Source organism: Homo sapiens, chromosome 3, assembly GCF_000001405.40.
Source record: "Homo sapiens chromosome 3, GRCh38.p14 Primary Assembly".
In the NCBI taxonomy this organism is placed as follows: domain Eukaryota; kingdom Metazoa; phylum Chordata; class Mammalia; order Primates; family Hominidae; genus Homo; species Homo sapiens.
In genome coordinates, this window is record NC_000003.12 from 18,002,401 (window position 1) to 18,024,308 (window position 21,908).

The following is a 21,908-nucleotide window of genomic DNA, read 5'->3' on the forward strand; positions in this document are numbered from 1 at the left end:
TCTTCCTGGTTTAGTCCTGGGAGAGTGTATGTGTCGAGGAATTTATCCATTTCTTCTAGATTTTCTAGTTTATTTTGCATAGAGGTGTTTATAGTATTCTCTGATGGTAGTTTGTATTTCTGTGGGATCAGTGGTGATATCCCCTTTATCATTTTTTATTGCATCTATTTGATTCTTCTCTCTTTTCTTTTTTATTAGTCTTGCTAGCGGTCTATCAATTTTGTTGATCTTTTCAAAAAACGAGCTCCTGGATTCATTGATTTTTTGAAGGATTTTTTTGTGTCTGTATTTCCTTCAGTTCTTCTCTGATCTTAGTTATTTCTTGCCTTCTGCTAGCTTTTGAATGTATTTGCTCTTGCTTCTCTAGTCCTTTTAATTGTGATGTTAGGGTGTCAGTTTTAGATCTTTCCTGCTTTCTCTTGTGGGCATTTAGTGCTATAAATTTCCCTCTACACACTGCTTTAAATGTGTCCCAGAGATTCTGGTATGTTGTATCTTTCTTCTCGTTGGTTTCAAAGAACATGTTTATTTCTGCCTTCATTTCTTTATGTACCCAGTAGTCATTCAGGAGCAGGTTGTTCAGTTTCCATGTAGTTGTGCGGTTTTGAGTGACTTTCTTAATCCTGAGTTCTAGTTTGATTGCACTGTGGTCTGAGAGACAGTTTGTTACAATTTCTGTTCTTTTGCATTTGCTGAGGAGAGCTTTACTTCCAACTATGTGGTCAATTTTGGAGTAAGTGTGGGGTGGTGCTGAGAAGAATGTATATTCTGTTGATTTGAGGTGGAGAGTTCTGTCGATGTCTATTAGGTCTGCTTGGTGCAGAGCTGAGTTCAATTCCTGGATATCCTTGTTAACTTTCTGTCTTGTTGATCTGTCTAATGTTGACAGTGGGGTGTTAAAGTCTCCCATTATTATTGTGTGGGAGTCTCTCTTTGTAGGTCACTAAAGACTTGCTTTATGAATCTGGGTGCTCCTGTATTGGGTGCATATATATTTAGGATAGTTAGCTCTTCTTGTTGAATTCATCCCTTTACCATTATGTAATGGCCTTCTTTGTCTCTTTTGGTCTTTGTTGGTTTAAAGTCTGTTTTATCAGAAACTAGCATTGCAACCCCTCCCTTTTTTTGTTTTCCATTTGCTTGGTAGATCTTCCTCCATCCCTTTATTTTGAGCCTATGTGTGTCTCTGCACGTGAGATGGTTTTCCTGAATACAGCACACTGATGGGTCTTGACTCTTTATCCAATTTGCCAGTCTGTGTCTTTTAATTGGAGCATTTAGCCCATTTACATTTAAAGTTAATATTGTTATGTGTGAATTTGATCCCGTCATTATAATGTTAGCTGGTTATTTTGCTCATTAGTTGATGCAGTTTCTTCCTAGCCTTGATGGTCTTTACAATTTGGCATGTTTTTGCAGTGGCTGGTACTGGTTGTTCCTTTCCAAGTTTAGTGCTTCCTCCAGAAGCTCTTTTAGGGCAGGCCTGGTGGTGACAAACTCTCTCAGCATTTGCTTGTCTGTAAAGTATTTTATTTCTCCTTCACTTATGAAGCTTAGTTTGGCTGGATATGAAATTCTGGGTTGAAAATTCTTTTCTTTAAGAATGTTGAATATTGGCCCCCACTCTCTTCTGGCTTGTAGAGTTTCTGCCGAGAGATCAGCTGTTAGTCTGATGGGCTTCCCTTTGAGGGTAAACTGACCTTTTTCTCTGGCTGCCCTTAACATTTTTTCCTCATTTCAACTTTGGTGAATCTGAAAATTATGTGTCTTGGAGTTGCTCTTCTCGAGGAATATCTTTGTGGCATTCTCTGTATTTCCTGAATTTGAATGTTGGCCTGCCTTGCTAGGTTGGGGAAGTTCTCCTGGATAATATCCTGCAGAGTGTTTTCCAACTTGGTTCCATTCTCCCCGTCACTTTCAGGTACACCAATCAGATGTAGATTTGTTCTTTTCACATAGTCCCATATTTCTTGGAGGGTTTGTTCATTTCTTTTTATTCTTTTTTCGTAAGCTTCTCTTCTCACTTCATTTCATTATTTGATCTTCCATCACTGATACCCCTTCTTCCAGTTGATCGAATCGGCTACTGAGGCTTGTGCATTCATCACGTAGTTCTCATGCCTTGGTTTTCAGCTCCATCAGGTCCTTTAAGGACTTCCCTGCATTGTTTATTCTAGTTAGCCAATAGTCTAATTTTTTTTCAAAGTTTTTAACTTCTTTGCCATGGGTTCGAACTTCCTGCTTTAGCTCAGAGTAGTTTGATGGTCTGAAGCTTTCTTTTCTCAACTCGTCAAAGTCGTTCTCTGTCCAGCTTTGTTCCATTGCTGGTGAGAAGCTGTGTTCCTTTGGAGGAGGAGAGGTGCTCTGATTTTTAGAGTTTCCAGGTTTTCTGCTCTGTTTTTTCCCCATCTTTGTGGTTTTATCTGCCTTTGGTCTTTGATGATGGTGATGTATGATGGGGTTTTGGTGTGGATGTCCTTTCTGTTTGTTAGTTTTCCTTCTCACAGACAGGACCCTCAGCTGCAGGTCTGTTGGAGTTTGCTGGAGGTCCACTCCAGACCCTGTTTGCCTGGGTATCAGCAGCAGAGGCTGCAAAACAGCAGATATTGGTGAGCAGCAAATGTTGCTGCCTGATCGTTCCTCTGGAAGTTTTGCCTCAGAGGAGTACCCGGCCATGTGAGGTGTCAGTCTCCCCCTACTTTGGGATGCCTCCCAGTTAGGCTACTCGGGGGTCAGGGACCCACTTGAGGAGGCAGTCTGTCCATTCTCAGATCTCCAGCTGCATGCTGGGAGAACCACTACTCTCTTCAAAGCTGTCAGACAGGCACATTTAAGTCTGCAGAGGATTCTGCTGCCTTTTGTTTGGCTATGCCGTGCCCCCAGAGGTGGAGTCTACAGAGGCAGGCATACCTCCTTGAGCTCCAGTGGGCTCCACCCAGTTCGAGCTTCCCAGCCGCTTTCTTTACCTACTCAAGCCTTGGCAATGGCGGGCACCCCTCGCCGAGCCTCGCTGCTGCCTTGCACTTTGATCTCAGACTGCTGTGCTAGTGGGTGTAGGACCCTCTGAGCCAGGCACGGGATATAAACTCTTGGTGTGCCGTTTGCTAAGACCATTGGAAAAGCGCAGTATTAGGGTGGGAGTGACCCGATTTTCCAGGTGCCGCCTGTCACCCCTTTCTTTGACTAGGAAAGGGAATTCCCCGAACCCTTGCCCTTCCTGGGTGAGGCGATGCCTTGCCCTGCTTTGGCTCGTGCTCAGTACACTGCACCCACTATCGTGCACCCACTTTCCGACACTCTCCAGTGAGATGAACCCGGTACCTCAGTTGGAAATGCAGAAATCACCCGTCTTCTGCATCGCTCACGCTGGGAGCTGTAGACTGGAGCTGTTCCTATTCAGCCATCTTGGCTCCACCTCAACCAGTGTTTGAACCAACATTCAACTCCTGACTGCCCATCTCTGAAGTGTCAGCACAGGTTTAGAGGGTTAATTCTCCAAACATTTTTAAGTCAAGACTACTGGCATGTTCTTTTTACTTGGCTTTCCCCCAAAGACAGATTTCCCTAATCAATCAATATTTGGTTGAATGCTACATGGCACTTTTCATACATTTTCCCCCTTCTTACATAACTCACTAAACCAAAATTAAAAGTTCCATTTAGATTGAGTAACTGAGGCTTAGATAAGTTAAATAACTTGTCCAACTTCATGTATCAGCCTCTCATGTTTCTTCCACTAACACTCTGCTCCATTTAAACTTGTTTTTGACAAATCTAGGAAACCTTAGACATTAGTAGAGTACTTTATATGTAAAGAAAACTTACAGTCCAAAAACAGGTGGCATTTTTTCTCATGTTCTCTTTCTCATTTAGCACCATTGAGAAAGATAGTATACAAGTCCTAGAAAAAATATGGGGGGATATGTTCAAGACAACGGGACACAACACTACATATTTATGTCCACTATAATGAATCAATACATCAACCGCAGAAGAGACCCAACATAAATGTTAATACAAGCATACCTCAGAGATACTGCAGGTTCAGTTCCAGACCTCTGCAATAAAGCAAATATCACAATAAAGCTAATCACACGTTTTTATTTTTGGCTTCCCAGTATATATATAAAAGTGATGTTAACACTACACTACAGCCTAAGTGTGCAATAACATGTCTGAAAAATGTACATAACTTAATTAAGAATACTTTGTTGCTAAAAAATCCTGATGATCATCTGAGCCTTCAGCAAGTTGTAATCTTTTTGCTAGTGGAGGGTCTTGCCTAGATGTTGATGACTACTGATTGCAGGGTGGTGGTTGCTTAAAGTTGGGGTGGCTGAGGCAATTTCTTAAAATAAGACAATAATAAAATGTTCTGCATTTCAGGAAATATTTCTCTATAGCATGCGATGCTGTTTGTTTGCATTTTACCCACAGTACAACTGCTTTCAAAATTGGAGTCAATCTTCTTAAAACCTGCTGCTGCTTTATCAATTACGTTTATATAATATTCTAAATCCTTTGTTGTCATTTCACCAATGTTCGTAGCATTTTCACCAGGAGTAGATTCCATCTCAAGAAACTATTTTCTTTGCTCATCCATAGACACAATTCTTTATATGTGAAAATATTATGAGATTGCAGCAATTCAGTCACATCTTCAGGTTCCACTGCTGATTCTACTTATCTTGCTATTTCTATCACATCTGTACTTCCTCCACTGAAGTCTTGAGTCCTCAAAGTCATTCATGAAGGTTGGAATCAGCTTCTTCCAAACCCCTATTAATGTTGATCTTTTGACACCTTTCCATGAATCATGAATATTACTAATGGCATCTAGAATGGTGAATTATTCCCAGTAGGTTTTCAATGTACTTTACCCAGATCTATCAGAGGAATCACTATCTATGGTAGGTACAGCCTTATGAAATGTATTTCTTAAATGATGAGCCATGAAAGTCAAGTTTCTCCTTGATCTATGGGCTGCAGAATGGATACTGTGTTATCTGGCATGAAAACAACATTAATATCCTTGTACATCTCCATTAGAGCTCTTGGTTGGCCAGGTGCGTTGTTAATAAGCAGTACTATTTTGAAAGGAATCTTTTTCTGAGCAATAGGTCTCAATAGAAGCTTAAAATATTTAGTAAACCATGCTATAAATAGATGTGCTGTCATCTAGGCTTTGTTGTTCCATTTACAGAGCATAGGCAGAGTAGATTTAGCATAATTCTTAAGGGCCCTAGGATTTTTGGAATGATGATAAGTCAGCATTGGCTTCAACTTGAAGTCACTGGCTGCAGTAGCCCCTAGCAAGAGAGTCAGTCTGTCCTTTGAAGCTTTGAAGCCAGGCCTTAACTTCTCCTGTCTAGCTATGGAAGTCCTAGATGTCATCTTCTTCCAATAGAAGGCTGTTTTATCTACATTGAAAAATCTGTTGTTTGTGTAGCCACCTTCATCAATGATTTTAGCTAGATCTTCTGGATAACTTGCTACAGCTTCTCCATCAGCACTTGCTGTTTTACCTTGCACTTTATTGTTGTGGAGATGGCCTTTTCCTAAACTTCATGAGCCAATCCTGTTAGCTTCTGCCTTTTCTTCTGCAGTCTCCTGACCTCTCTCTGCCTTCATAAATTTAAGAGATTCTACTCTATTATTTAGGACTTTGCTCTGGATTAGGCTTTGGCTTGTGGAATGTTGTGGCTAGTTTAATCTTCTATACAGACCACTAAAACTTTTTCTAGATCAGTAATAAGGCTGATTCACTTTCTTATCAGTTGTGTACTCACTGGAGTAGCACTTTTATTTTCCTTCAAGAACTTTTAGTTTGCTTTTGCAACTTGGCTAACTCTTTGGCACAAGAAAGCCTAGCTTTTGGTCTGTCTTGGCTTTCATTATGTCTTCCTTACTAAGCTTAATCATTTCTAGCTTTTAATTTAAAGTGAGAGATACGTGACTCTTCCTTTCACTTGAACATTTAGAGGCCATTGTAGGGTTATTAACTGGGTTAGTTTCAATTTTGTGTCTCAGGGAATAGGGAGGCCTGAAGAGAGGGAGAGAGAGGGGGGAACGGCCTATTGGTGGAGCAGTCAGAACATACACAATACTTATCGATTAAGTTCGCCATCTTATGTGGACACAGCTCATGGCATCCCAAAACAATTACAGTAGTAACATCAAAGGCCACTGATTACAGTCATAATAACAGATATCATAATAATTAAAATGTTTGAAATACTGTGAGAATTACAAAAATGTGACACAGAGACATGAAGTAAGCTGATGCTGTTGGAAAAAATGGTGCTGACAGACTTATTCAACACGAGGTTGTCAAAAAGTTTCAATTTGTAAAAACTGCAATATCCATAAAGTGCTACAAAATTAGGTATGACTCTATTAATACTGCCAGAAAAACAAGATTCCCTGTTGCCTGGTGGAACTGTAAGAAGCATTGACTGCTTTAGCTAAGTATTGTTGCCAGGGTCAGTTTTGTCATTTGGCAAAGAGGCAGTGACCAGAGTTGATTAACTAATGTCGTTAAACTAGGGGAAGGGTTGGGGGAGGTGGTATGTTGGAAAGCCTGATTCGTAGCACTTGCCAAAATATAAATACTGCAAGTCTGATTTCAAGCTACCAATGGTTTAACAGTGGGCTCACAAAATTCCTGAAAATTGAATAATTGGCTTTCATAAGCTAATATGACCTAGCTCTAGCATACCACCACAGCTCTTCTCTGAGAACCAATGCCCCAGTTTCTGGTAAAAGATATCCCAGGAGACCTTCCTTCCTGTACTTGCCCAGGATTTCCCACGTAGGCTTGCGTCATGGGGGTGATGCTGGTCCTGTCATCACATTATAGTGGCTGGTGATTCAGGAAAATCCCCTTTAAGGAAATCTCTCAAGTGTGCTCAATTTTGTATGAGAAAATAAGAGTGAAAATGCTAATAAAAATCAAAGATACCAACTTATCAGGGAGCTCTCGGTGAAAAACAGGTTAGAAATAATGCCCAAATAGCATATAGTTTCAATTTATTCATTGTACACTAGATGCAGTTAAATGAAGTCTCATATCTTGGGACAAAACAAGAGCGAGGGCATTTTAAACTGGGCACATTTTCGTCTATAAACAGGCAGGTACATTGATGGAGGTGAGGAAGTCCTTTTAATTCATCTCCACGACCAGCATCACTAGGAAGAAGAAAGACTAGGATCACATCAAAGCATATGTTCAGATGTGGCCAGCAGAAGCCTTGGCTGTATTGCTGTGGCTATTTCTCCTTTCTGTGGTGTCCTGGGAAGCTTGGTCTAGGCATGGTGAATTTTTCTTCTTTGACTAAGTTTGCAGAATCATAAGATCAAATGTTTAGAAGGGCATTTAGGTGACTGCATATACATCCTCCTCAACATCCCTGACAATCATTTACTTAGTCTTGAAGGCCTCCATTAAAAGGGGGTACTTAGCTTCCTGATGCTTCTGTTTACATTTCTAGGCAATTCTGTTTGGTGGAAAATTTCCCCTCAGGCAAAGTAGGATCTTCATTTCTGCAGCTGATCTTTTGGTTTTTCTCTGGACACATAGCATCTAGGATGGACACACAGCTTTACAATTAGTCAGATGCATTTCAATTCAGTTCTACAAACATTTCCTGAGTCCTTATCATGGCCAGAATACAAAGATGCGTTAGCTTAGTTTCCATTCTTGAGAAGCTCATGGTTTGGCAACTTAGAAAGTTTCGCAAAAAGATAATCTAGTTCCATTATGTATTCTATAATACGTGGCCTCCTTTCTCTTTACTTCAACCACAAGCTTACAACAGCAGCTTCCATCTTCTGACATGAGCTCATCATCCCAACCAGCAATTTGTTCGTCTAGGGGTTTGTCCCTGACCAAACTACACCATCAGTAACCACAGCCATAGTTGATTGGTCCAAGAATGGGCTCCTGACCAAAGCTGGCCACTCAAATCTTTTATCTCAGATTTTAAAATTTGGTATCAAAAAGGGTATAAGCCAGTCTCTCTAATGACTGACTTTCTAATGACTGCAAAGCTGTGCAGTGCTGTAGCTGATTCCTGACACTCTGTAGTGAGAAGGAATGAAGCAGATGTGCAGAAAGGAGAAACAAGTAATGGAGAGAGGGTCCTGGCAGAATTTCCTTCCTTGGCTCCAGTGTTCCTGAGACTTGTTTCTATCCCTGCCCTTCTCATGCCCAGCTCATCTCTGGGTCAACACATTCCCCTTTGAATGTTTTGAAATGTTGAAAGTTTTAAGCTGCTTTGCATTTTGTTTCATTTTTGTTTGTTTGCTTGCTTTTTTTTTTTTTTTATTTAGAAGAGAAAAGGGCAAAATGAAGGGATCAGAAAGCAGTGTTGATGCTCCATATCTCCACCCCTTTGCTGGGGCAAACTTGACCAATGGGTATCACAGATGGACAGGTTGTGTATCAAAAAGAGGAAAAGGCTCATGTTTCCTTGGAAGGCATTTGGTTGGTAGTCAGTGAGAGATGGAGAAAAACGAAATAGGAATTCAGGTGGCAGGCAGCCTGCTGTTGAGTGGGAATTATTCTCTTGGTGAGAGAGGTTTGTATTCACCTCTGCTTGCTGAGGGCATCTTGTCTGTTTACTCCGGGTCTACTGCTGAAACAGTTAACTTCTGGGTGGTGCAGTAAGCTTGAATAGAGATGGGGCCCTTCCTTCATCAGTTAATAGAGGGTTTACTATATACCAGACACTATAAATTGATATTTACCTAAATACTTGTATATATAATTTCAAATTTATTTACATATAAGTCCCATGGTATTATCATGAAGTTGGGATGTATCCACATTTTACCAATGAGGAACCAGAGACTGGAAGAGTCAATCAGTTGTTTGAGGCTCACAGAGTTACAGAGTGACAGTGGGGATGGGAACTCAGCTTCTGACTCCAAACTCTATTGTACATCCCTCTCTTCTGAGAGAGACAGAGAATCTGGCTCTTTAAGTATCTGCCTGGTTTGAGGACTGCTGCAGCAATGATAATCCACCAGCGTGGTCTGGAGACTGAGTTCCCTGGGAAAGGCCTCCTTCTCACCTCCAGCACTCTCTCTATTTCCTGCATAAAGGGAGGAGTGAATGTTTCAAGGCAGGTTTCTTCTCTGGCAAGAGCCCAGGACTTTGCAGGCTGAACCAGCATCCTACAGCCAGGTGCGTCCGGCCTCAGTCACTGTGCCTGGCCAGGTGAGGCTCTGGGGTTTCATCTGCCTGTGGTTGGCAAGACTTCTGAGAGGGCTGCCTAATCCCAAATAATAATAATGACAATAGTGGTGATAATAGAGGGCTTTATGTGTGCAAAATGTGGTTCAATCCCAAAAGGTCCAGGAACACTATAAAAGATCCTGATAAGTATTATTATCTCTTGGGCGGGCAACAGGTTTACCTTGAGGGCAAATGCTGCAATGGGAGGTAAAGAGCCTGAGAGGTAATGAGATCAGGTAACAATAATGATAGCAAGTGCTAATGCCAGTAGCCAAGAAAAAGGACAAACGGGAAGTCATGTTTGGAGACTCTGGGTTAATTAAAAAAGAACTCTTCTTGCCTATTTTCCTTTGGGCATGAATTATCAGCAACAAATGATAGAGCACAGGCTCTTCTTCAGAGCTAAAGAGATGAGCCCTGTTTAGGTGGCCATCTGCTTTGCATGTGTGGAGAATGTCTGGTCTGCACAGTGCACACTCAAGGGTCTCTGGGGTTTCACAGGGAATGTTAATGAATAAACATAGTCGAGTGTAAGGCAAATATAGTACAAATAAAATGAGAGCAATGTGACAAATGGCAAGGTATGCTTGGCTTCAATATTGGGGCACGATAAGGAGGGGTGGGGTCTGCGGCAAACTAGAGGGAGAACCATGTGCCACCACTGAAGGAAGCAGCTCTATTTAAATCCAACCAGAGCTGGCCCTGTGTTGCCAGTTCTTTCAATTTTGGGAAGAAACTGAAACTCCAAATTGTTGTGGAGAATCTCTTAAATTTAAAATATTGTTAACTACTTTGAACATTTTCAAATGCTGTTGGCTACATCCTGTCTGGTTGGGGTTTTTCGCCTAAGGAAACCCTGCAATTACCTCAAATTTCAAAGATGTTTAGCCTTATTAAGCACATGGAGTTAGAGGAGACAGCTGGCCCATTGTGCATCCTGTATCCCCCCCAGCCAAGATTATAAAAGAAGCCAGTGGGAAGGAGGAGAGATAGCCCAGGCTCATGTGTGTCTAGACACTGCATGGAGTATGGGCTGGATGGGGCTGCCAAGGTGTGGCCACGAGTGTGGTCAGATGAGAACATCACAAATGAGCTTGGTAGAAGGAGAGGCTGGCAAGGGTGAAATCCAGTGGGGCTACTGAAGATAAACAGCAACTGTGACAAAATTTTATCTCTTCTGGCTTTTTCCTGCTCCCTTTCTTTCTCTCTACTGCCCTATTATACATTTTCTCTTTATCTTCCTTCTTTCCTTCCTTCCTTCCCACAAATTCACGGGCCACTCACATAGTGTCGGAAGCTTTACAGGCTATGGGAACGTAATCTAGGCATACAATTATGTTTTCAACTTTTATTTTCTCCCATGGAAGCTGTTTCACATAAAAAGAGCTATAGAGGTTTTTTTAAAAAAATCAAATCTGAAAGTAAGCTTGACAAGATCAGGCATTATATAAGCGGTGTAATTTTTTTCTTTGAGAGAATCACTTCAACAAGACACACAGTCACAGCAGCAATTTAACAATAGCAAGAGGCCTCATGGCTGTCAGTGATCAGAGACCCGCCAGGTGCCTGAGATATTGCAGGCAGAGACTACAAATGGTGGATTCAATGTGATGCCTGAATTGAAAGTTGTAAGGGATATCTCTTTTTCTCACGTGGCCCACATCCCCCTGTGAGGGATGTCCAGCCTGGTGCAGAAGAGGGCAGAAAGGCCTTCTGTAGGAGGGGACATCTAGAGGGATGAGTGGAACCTAGCCAGGTAGAGAAACAGGAAAGAAAAGAGCATTCCAGAGAAAGCAAGAGTAGGTGCAATGACCGTGAGTTGAGAGACCATGCAGCTCTTTTGGGCACCTGAAAATGCTTCAGTCTAGCTGGAGGAGACGGTATACTCAGGGGCAAAACTAAAGCTATAAGTAGGAGATGGATAATTAAGGGCCTTGTATATTGTGTTAGGGAGTTTTACTCTATCCCCAGGTGGGTTTTTGGCAGGAGAGTAACATTGTCAGTCTTGTGTTTTAGGAAGATCACTTTGATTGCCATGTGGAGAGTGAACTGTGGGAGGACCCCAGTGGAGGCAGGAAGACTAAACCAGAAGACAGTCACAGTAGTCCAGATAAGAGATGCATATGTTATCAATCGGTGAGTTTTTACTGAGAAAGGACTACACTAATAGTTGTATGTGATACAGCAGACACTTTTTGATCTCAAGGATCTTTGCTGGGTTGTCAAGACAAATAGATCATCCATTCAATTGGTTAATTGAATTCAATTTAAAAATATTCATAAAATCTGTACTACAGAGAAGCAATGTTCCAAGGCACAGATCAATAAGACATGGTTACTGCCATGAAGGAGCTTATAGTCTCTTGGGGGAGGCAAATACAACCAAATACCATGCGTGGTATACAGCATGGGTCCCCAACCCCCCAGGCCAAGGACCGCTACTGGTCTGTATAAGCCTGCACAGCAGGAGGTAAGTGGCCGGCCAGCAAGTGTAGCTTCATCTGTATTTACAGCCTCTTCCCATTGCTCTCAGTACTGCCTGAGCTCCACCTCTTATCAGATCAGCAGCCGCATTAGATTCTCATAGGAGTGTGAACCCTATTGTGAACTGTGCATGTGAGGGATCTATGTTATGTACTCCTTATGAGAATCTAATGCCTGATGATCTGTCACTGTCTCCCATACCCCCCAGATGGGACCATCTAGTTGCAGGAAAACAAGCTCAGGGCTCCCACTGATTCTACATTATGGTGAGTTGTATAATTATTTCATTATGTATTACAAGGTAACAGTAATAGCAATAAAATGCACAATAAATGTAATGTGCTTGAATCATCCTGAAACCATTCCTCTGCCCTCGGTTCATGGAAAAATTGTCTTCCACAAAACTGGTCCCTGGTGCCAAAAAGGTTCAAGACCACTCATTTAGAATATAATACTGTAGTGTACAAGTAAGTTAACTGGCCTGCACTGGTCATGCCTTCTTATTGTAATGAGTGCCAGCCCACTGATTTACTCAGCCTCATCTTCTATATTTAGCTCACTTGGGCCAACCACAATCTTGTGTGGAATATTATCTTTATTCCCATTTCATAGGTGAGAAACTGAGGCTCAGAGAGATTACAAAGGAGCACAGATGGGATTTTTACTCCAGGTCCTCTAGTCTCATTATCCCATGTTTTGAGGATTATACTGATGTTTCCCAAACTTTAGTCATTGTTTCTGATTTTTACAATAATTATATAAGCCTGCACAATTATTTACTTTATTTCACTTTAAACTGATTCATTGTTCATATTAAATAATTTATTCTGAAAAGAAAGTCATGTGAACATAATGAATAGAAAGTATCACTTGCCACAAACATAAAATAACTGTAAAATTAAATATGTTAAAACAATAGTATTAAAAGACTCATTGCATACAGTAGCCTGATCGAGGTCTGAGTCTGATGTCAGCTGACTTTGTTAAAAAGGGAAACTTCCAAGTGTTGAAAGGTGCTAAAGACCTGGTAGCACTAAACTGGCACTTAGCTTTGACTCATCATAAGGCTCTAAAGATAATTGAGCCTTATGGGAATAAATCCCTCACTCTGAGATTTAATCTTATTTAATGGTATCTATCTACTACCTCACATATAGCACATCATCCATGGGCAGACACCGTGAAGTGGCCCATCTCCCTTCTTCCTTTTTGCAACCATCTTTCCTTGCTACAAGCTGCCACCCTATGAGGTCACTGGTGGGGGTGAGGGGGCATCCTTTTAGGCAGGTAAAGAAGAGTGAACCTTCCAGACAGTGCCATAGGGTGTCAAGGTGGCCACTAGGGTTTCCGTCTAGGGAAACACGATTGTGCTATACAGCAATGATCCCCTTGTGATAACAGGCAAAGGTTAGTGAGATATTCTGCTCTGCTCTAAGCACCGGGTTCTCTTTTTCTTTTTTCTTTTTATTTTGAGACAATCTCACTCTGTCACCCAGGCTGGAGTGCAGTGGTGCCATCTCAGCTCACTGCAACCTCTGCCTCCCAGGTTCAAGCGATTCTCTAGCCTCAGCCTCCAGAGTAGCTGGGATTATAGGCGCACACCACTTGCCTGGCTAATTTTTGTATTTTTAGTAGAGACAGGGTTTCACCATGTTGGCCAGGCTGGTCTCGAACTCCTGGCCTCAGGTGATCCACCCGACTTGGCCCCCCAAAGTGCTGGGATTACAGGTGTGAGACACTGCGTCCAACTGTCTTTTTTCCTCCTTCTGTGAGACTGAGGCCACTTCTGCCTCATGTTCCTATCTCTCAGCATTCATGAGCCTTCCCTCACTTTGTTAATGATATTTCATGATATTTTTATATTATTACCCGATACAACTTTTAGGATGTAGAGAGAAAGGAACAGACTTTGGAGATCCTTCAGAATCTGTGAGCCTGGAAGATAGAAACCGTGGAGCAGAAGTTGGTGACAGGGAGGTTATATCAGCTTGGTTTGCCTATCCACAGGGACGTCCATAAACTTAGATCACTGGCCATTCATGGGGGATGACCAAAGGCTGTGGCTAGAGAGCAGTCCCAAGGCAGGATTTAGAGCAGGCAAAAAGCCTGAGTACAAAGCCTGCCCCCAAGTGAGCAGGGACAGGGGAAGTATGAACACTGTACTTATATCTCACCTGTAGGCTGGGGGATTGGAGGTGGGATTGTCAACCATTTGTGAGTGAGCTTTTGCCTTGATGGTCCTCCTTGACTTGAATGTCCAAGAGTGAGGACTCCACAGAAACATTACCCATCTGATATAGTTTGGCACTATGTTTGGACCCGAATCTCACATTGAATTGTAATCCCCAGTGTTGGGGGAGGGACCTAATGGGAGGGCGTTGGAACATGGGGGCAGATTTCCCCCTTGTGTTCTCGTGATAGTGAGTGAGTTCTCCTGAGATCTGATTGTTTAAACGTGTGTAGCTCCTCCCCTTCACTCTCTTCCTCCTGCGCAGCCATGTGAAGAAGATGCTTGCTTCCCCTTTGCCTTCTGCCATGATTGTGAGTTTCGCGAGGCCTCCACAGCCATGCTTCCTGTACTGCAGAACTGTGAGTCAATTAAACCTCTTTTCTTCATAAATTACCCAGTCTCTGGTAGTTCTTTATAGCAGTGCAAGATGGACTAATACACCACCTAAGTGATGTATTTGTTGCTCCAGCTCTATATATACCTAATTTGTACATCACCTGGGACCTTGCTTTTCTTTGAGTTAAATGATTTTATATGTTAACTACTCTACTTTAATGATCACAATTTATCATATACTTTTTCAGCATCTCAATAAAAGAAATTTTTTCGAAATTCAGGAGACTATCATTTGAGTCTGCTTTGCAAAGTGATTTATTTCTGTCAATATTCCAGTGAGAGAAGGACTTTTGTTTATGTGACACACACTGGGGACATACAAAGAGCAAAAGACCCCTGTCAAACATGACTGCAAGTGAAGACATGTCTAAACACACACAACTTCATATGAAAGATTAAAGGAAGAAGAAAATTGATTATAATACCAACTCTTGCATTTCTCTGAATTTTGCATAGCAGCTTTTCATGTGAATGAATGTTCAGAAATTCGGGTCTGAACAAAATAAAAATGCATCCATAAATTTTTAAAAGACAGATTTTAAAATCTCATTTAATACAAGAGAAAATCTGATTTCTTTCTAGAATGTCTTTATAGATAGTACACATCTATGCCGGGTAAGGTGCTACAGATACTGGTATACATAAATTAGAAGACATAATCATGGCTTTCAGGAAATTTGTAATCCCTTGAGAAAAACACACACAAATAAACTATGATAAAAGTAGAACAGAGGAATTTAAAAGTGACAGGTGAACCCAGGTGCTGGATGTTATATCAGCTTCAGAGAGGAGGTCTATAGAGGAGAGGACATTTCAATTAGTTCTTGAGGGATGAAGAGGATTTTGCAAGGAGTGGAGAAAAGAGATTAGACACAAAGGGAACAGTGGGACCAAAGACAAAGAGACAAGAATGTGCATACCCATTTGCAGAATGTAAGTGATGATGGAAGCATTGTGTTTATTTGAGGGAAAATGACAGTGTAAGGGTGAAAAGGTGAGTAGGAGCCCAACTGTGAAGGTCTTTGAATGGTGCCTGGATTTCCTTCCTCTAGACATGGATGCCCATCACAGGCTCTTAATCAGGAGAGTGATGATGATGGGATATTTTGATTTAGAAAGCTAAACAAGGAGATCAGGCAAGAGGTTTTTTACGTTGGCTGAGGTAAAATGATCTTTTATGTATCTTACACCAATTCTGTTCTCTCTCCTTTTTCTAAGAAGTATACTGAAATAAAAGATGTTTGTTTTGAAGAGACTCAATGTATTTGCCACACAAATAACTCAGCTTGTTCCAATGAATGAAGTCTTAAAATGTAGCAGAAGGGATGGAAAAGGGCTGCCCTCACTTTGGATTTCTGGTCCTTATCTTTTCAATACGTGGAATATTACTGAGATGCAAGTAAGGGAGGAAGAGGGAAGAAACCATATGTGTCAGGCTTTGCCTGTTCCTCCAAGAAGATAGATTTTTTTTTTTTCCTGAGGCTCTTCAGATCAAATTAAGCAGTAAAAATATTCTAATTGAGTTGGGCTAGACTAAAGATGGATCCTTATCTTGGTACAATTACATGGTGTAATCTTTGCTTCCAATTATACCATTTCTCCTTCCAAGAGGAAGAGATTGAGCATGCGAACAGATTCTCAGGCTCCAAAAGAAGCGTGTCTGTTGTTATTAAAGGGGAGTTAGAGACATGTTGTCATAAATGTGTGTGACTCTCAGAGCTTTTAGAGACATCCACATTTCTGCCCGTGAGGAATGGAAGGGAAGGCAGAGGGACTGATAGACCAATTGATGGGGAAAATTTTATTGCAAAATATGAGACTATGGTGATGGCTGCCTTTTGGGACATGGACTTCTACTCAGGTCTCTGGTGGAACTGAAGACATGGGGTTGATGGTGGTGAGAGTGGGGTTGAATTGTTCTAATAGGGTCTATGTCATCGGAAGAGCCCACTGCTTACAGGATGCTTGGTTTTGTTTAAAGGTGGGCAGAGCAAGACATGGCACTCCCCTGTTTTCTCTTTCCCCACATCTCCTCTACCCCCAATCACTTAGGATAGTTTTTTCCCTCTGAACCCAGAAATGAGAAACAGTCTGTAGTTTTCAGTATTGCAGTATCAAACTTTTAATTTTTGCATCTGCTTTTGAACAAGTCATAAGAAAAACAAAGTTGTAAGGCTTTATTTTTTTAAGTCATTTTTCTCCCTTTCAAATTCTCTCTAGAATCTTTTTATCTGAGCTCCCTGGGGAGGCGTCTTGACACTGTGGGAAACACTCCAATTTCTCTTATGTGGTGGGAGGGGAGGGTACTCAATTGTCAGTTAAAAAAATAATGATCTGCAGCAGATTAAAGAACTTAGAGAGCCTTACACGTTTGAGTCTTTTAAGTGGGTAACTCCTTTAACCGGGTAATTCTTCTAAGCGGGTAATTCCTTTAAGCAGGACCCTTCACAGCCCTATAAAACTGAAGACCATCTAGGAACTCTTGAACTGTTTCAAATTGTTTTCAAATGGGTCTGAATGCTGTTGAGAAATGCATAATTTACGACCTTAACACTTGATTAGGTGTTAAACGACTGTCGGGAGAGATGTCCTTGGTAATCCAGTTATCATCCAGACTCTAATTATCACTTCACAGGAGAAGTAAGGCTGGGTAATTGAGAACCAAAATTCTTAAAGGGCTAGAAGTGGCTATTTTCTTATGCAGTTAAGTAAATTATTTCTCTACCTAGAAGGTGTCTAATTGGTACCAATTGATGAGAAGGAAGACATGGTGTGACTTTCAGGAGTGATTTAGTCAGGGGGCTGCAGCCAAGGCAACAGAAAGTTATACTGACTACGAAGAGATGTTTCCCAGTTTAAAATTTTCACTTTATTTAAAATTGGTGTTAAAGGAGGGAGAGAAGGAGAAACTAGATGGCCAAGAGAAGACAGACTATAATTAAGAACAGATGACCATACCTCTCCCCTGTCTGTCATTACTAAGGATTTTCCTCAGATGAGACCCCATTTCACCTGTGTTAGTTCCCATCAATCACTGTAAATTGTTTAAACCACAAATGCTGCACCAACTGTTAAACCAAGGATGGAAATAACGGGCCAAAATCTGCCGGAGAGAAGGGCCACTCTCACTGAATTCAGTAGGACGTAAGAGGTAACAGGTAAAGAGATTGCATTCTGAATCTTTTTCTTTGACTAGCTTTCTTCTCCCCTCCACCCCCAATCTTCTATGGGGCACTTTTATGTGCAGAAATGGCCACGCTAAGTGCTATGAATACAAAAATGGGAATATAAGACACCACCCTTGTCTTCAGCAGTTTCTGCTTGACACAGACACCGATGGATTGTGTTGGAGATTAGAGGAGACTAATAACCAATATCTCTATATTCTCCTAAATTAGGGATGAATTAATAGATAGATCCTAGAGAAGGGGGAAATCATATTGCCTAGATTACTAATAAACTTGATTGGAGAATGTGTTAGATCTGTGGCCAAGTGGGTTTGCCTACTCACCAGTAAAATCAGCACTTACCTGCAGTCACTGGCACAGCTGGTCAACCGCAGGCATCCCCCATGATGCGGGAGTTGGGCACAATCCCCCAAGGCAGAGAGCAGAGTGGAATGCTTGTCCTCTGGACAGGCTGGCTCCAAAAGAGCCTCTCCTAACTCTCTGATCAGATAAGTCATGCCCGTCATGGAGGGGAGTGGGAGCTGGGGCCAGAGTGTCATTCCAGTTTCTACAAGAAAATGTGAGGCTCCTTCCTAAGAGAGAGGCCTGGAAAGGGATGTTAAGAGGGGGCTAGACTTGTAAGTGGTAAATTAAGTGCTTAATTCACTGTTTTTATGGGTTTTAGGTCAGAAGTGCAGTTCTATGCTACATTCTGAAAACTGGCTACATCCTTAAGAGTTTAGAGAACAGACTCAATACAATCCAGAGTCACCATCCTATTATACCTGGGATGCAGAAAGTATATAGTCTATTTCTGATTGGTAGGTGTCAATATGGTGCAGCAAATGCTATGGTAAGCATAAAATGTTGGCTGATTTTAAGCTCATGTTTTCCAGTTTCTTCTGACCTTACTTTTTTTTGGATAGTATTTATTTTTGACTGATTACAAATGTAATACATGTTTATCAAAGAATAGTTGGAAAATGTACAAAGATAAAAAAGAAAATAAAAGTTACCTTTTATCCTACCAAAGATATCACTGATACTATATGAGTTCTTTAAAAAAATTTAAATTCTCTTTCTGTATATATGTACATACTATTTCCCTACAAAAATTTTCTCTTGTACTATATATGGAGTTTTATATTCTCATTTCCCCTTATATGCTGAATAATTTTCCATGTCATCAAATAGATTTAAAAATATAATTTTAGTGGCTACGTAGCATTTCATTTAATTTGCTGCTTCTTAGATATTTGGGTTATTTCCAACTTCATTTTCTACAAAGAACTTTTTTATATGTAAATATTTGTTTTCTTCTCTGAATATTTCTTAGAGTAGAGTTGTTAGGGTTGAGAGTTTGAACACTTTAAAGCAGTGGTGTGCTGGTAAATGTTTAACAAAAATCTTACAGAAAAAAAAAAAAAAACCCACCCTGATTTGTAGCATTCGCCAGTTTCTAGAGTATAAGTATTCCAACCATTGCTGATTTCAAGCTACCAATGGTTTAATGCCTGGCTTGGAAAATTCCTGATAATTAAATGATTGGTTCTCGCGAGCCAGCATATACCACTGCAAGGCTCTGGATGCATATTTTGCTGTTTCTTTCCAGAAAGCTTGTACCTAATTATGTTCCTACCTGTAGCATGTGAGAGGGCTTAGATCCTGCTTCAAGGTCTGGGAGCCCAGGTAGACCAGCAGCTGAAGGGAGAGGTGAGTGAACTCAGAGTTCTTCCACTTGCATGAGGGATCCAGTACCCCTCCAGATGACGTCCAGGAGAAAGAACTTTTATTTCCAAAGAAAGAGTCCATACACATAAACGTTTTAAAGGGGAAAAAATTAAACTCTGAATTTGTTTTAGATTTTATATAAGACCAAGTCCAAATATTTGCTAACCAAAATAGTCTCTCTGTTACTTCTCTATCCTTCACGTTGATGCTACGCTATTAAATTTGACAGTTAATCATCTTGTAGATGCAGAGAAATATGGCATTATGGAACAGAAAGGGACCTTGTAATAACACTGAAGCATGGTAGTTCTCAAAGAGCTGTAGCCCTGGCTCAGCTACTAACTAACTCTGTGACCGTAAGTAGACCCTCTGTGTTTTCTGGTAATCCACTGTCTGAGAACTAACGTGAGCCTTAAAGTGTAGATCTAATTCTGCAGCTTCTCAATCTAGTATGCTCTTTGAATGGTTTCACATTATTGGCTTTAAGATAAAATCTTAAGTCCTTAATATGGTTTTTAATATTAGGTGATAATGTGGAGAAGCTCTAAGGTAACCGCCAATGATCCTGACTTCTATTATCCGTGTCCTTGTCTAATCCCCTCCCCTGTGTGTGTGTGGGACCTGCAACTTGCTTCTAACCAATAGAATATGGCAGATGGTGGGCTGTCACTCCAGTGTTTATGCTACCTTCGTTAAACTCCACCTCTTAATTGCAGCCTGGTGAGAAGCTGAAGCAGGGAGCCCAGCTGAGCATGCCCTGGACTCCCCGCCCACAGAATTGGGAGATGATAAATATATGTTATTTTAAGCAGCTAAGTTTGTGGTGATGTGTCACATCGCAATAGAAAACTGGTTACAAAGGCTTCCACAAGGTCCTGCCTGCCTGCCTCTTCTAGCCCATGGCAAATGCTGGTGTTCTCTGCGTGCCCCTCCGAGCCCTTTTGCATGTTTCTCCCTTCTGCTCTGGGCCTCAGAAGCCTGACTTCCTGGGAAGCATCACCTGTGCTTCCTTGACCTCTGGCTTTTCATTGTCACTGAAATGAGTTTGGAAAACCTCTCCCTGCCAGGTTGTAGGTTGGAAAGATCTACCTTTCCCTACCAAGGGTCACTGCTCCCGTGAGGCGGCTTTGTCCTGGGGCTCCAGCTCTCTCTGGTTTTCCTTTCTGATCTCTTCCCATGCCCCTGAGTTTTAGGGCAGGTAGAGTCTCCTTTGTTGCTAGCCTTTGATGTTTTAGCATCTCTTCCTTGGTTCATTTCCCTTATCTCTGCCTAAAGATTTGTGAATAGTCACTTCATTAAACTTTTCAAAATTATATGGCTTAAGTGTATCATCGTTTGTTGCTGGGATCCTGAATAATATAAGGCATTATTTTGATTCCAAAATTTTATACCAGGGGCTTCCCACATGCTGTTCCCATGCCTAGAAGACCACTTCCCCAGCCTCTGGTCTCCAACTTTACCTAGCTCAGTAGGTCTCAACATGCAGCCCCCAAAACTGCAGCAACAGTATCAACCTGGGAACTTGTTAGAGATGCAAATTCTCAGGTCCCAGCCCACACCTACTGAATCAGAAACTCTGAGGCTGAACCCAGCAATCTGTGTTTTAACAAACCTTCCAGGTGATTCTGAGGCATCCTGAAGTTTGAGAACCACTAAAAGAGTTTGCACTATTATCTTCTCCAAGTCCTAGCTTAAACTCTTAGACTTCGTTTGTTCCCTTTGTTACATTTCTCACAGCTCTGCCTGTCTCTACTTGTAGTACGCATATTACTTATAGTGATTTGATCAAAGTTGATTTCTCCTAGCATCCTATGAGCCTAGCATTTATGTCTGCTTTGTTCATGTTAAAATCATTCCTATCCTATCCGGTGCCTAACCTACAGTGGTTATGCAATAATATTTCTTTAAAAAGTAGATTGAATAAACCATTTGGGCCTCAATTTACTTATTCATGTAAAGATGATATTGGCTGCCTCACACATTAAATGATAAACTTTGTTCAAGGTAGCTTGGTTAAGTTGTAGAGTTTGGCTCTGGGCAATAATTCTGGTTTGGAAATATCTATATTGCATGGGTTAATTCTTATTCTTTACAACCATTTTTATCCAAACTCACAAAGTTGCAGATTTACAAAAATAAGTTACATAACATAGTTCACTTTATAAATAACTCAGAGCGTGGTTTGAATGGATTCCTTTCAAAGTCCTATCTAAATAATCTAAAAAATAATATTCTATCAGCTCAAACCACTTAATCAGGTCTATGTTAATCTCACATTCTTGATACGTCCATCAATCCATTCATCCATCTACCCATTCAATATTTACACCTTTCAACAAATATTTACTGTGTCAGCAACAGTGCTCTGGACATGGAATAGCATTTTACAACATTGCAGGTACAAATGGTTAGAACTGTTTTTTAAACCATAAACTGTAGCCTAATTTCATGGATTTAATGACAGTCCCCACTGTCATTATCCAAGACAAATTTGCTGGACTTGAAGAGGTCTTGTTCCTGAAAGATTTCCTTGGGCTTACAATACACAGAAGGAAATGGGAGTCATGGATGTTTGAGCAGAGGCATGACAGAAACAAACACATTTTACAAGGATTGTCCCAGCTCCTCTGTGCAGTAGGGTGAGGGGGGACGAGAGCAGAGG

The 21,908-nt window shown here is 41.1% G+C and overlaps 1 long non-coding RNA gene across 1 annotated transcript in view; it reads left to right on the forward strand.

The window, feature by feature from the left end:
* BALR6 (B-cell acute lymphoblastic leukemia associated long RNA 6) overlaps window positions 1-21,908 on the forward strand; it is a 306,371-nt gene that overhangs the window by 39,849 nt on the left and 244,614 nt on the right. The window contains exons 2-3 of the long non-coding RNA NR_161333.1: window positions 11,255-11,374; window positions 14,218-14,311. This is a non-coding gene — a long non-coding RNA (B-cell acute lymphoblastic leukemia associated long RNA 6). The remainder of the gene's footprint in view (window positions 1-11,254; window positions 11,375-14,217; window positions 14,312-21,908) is intronic.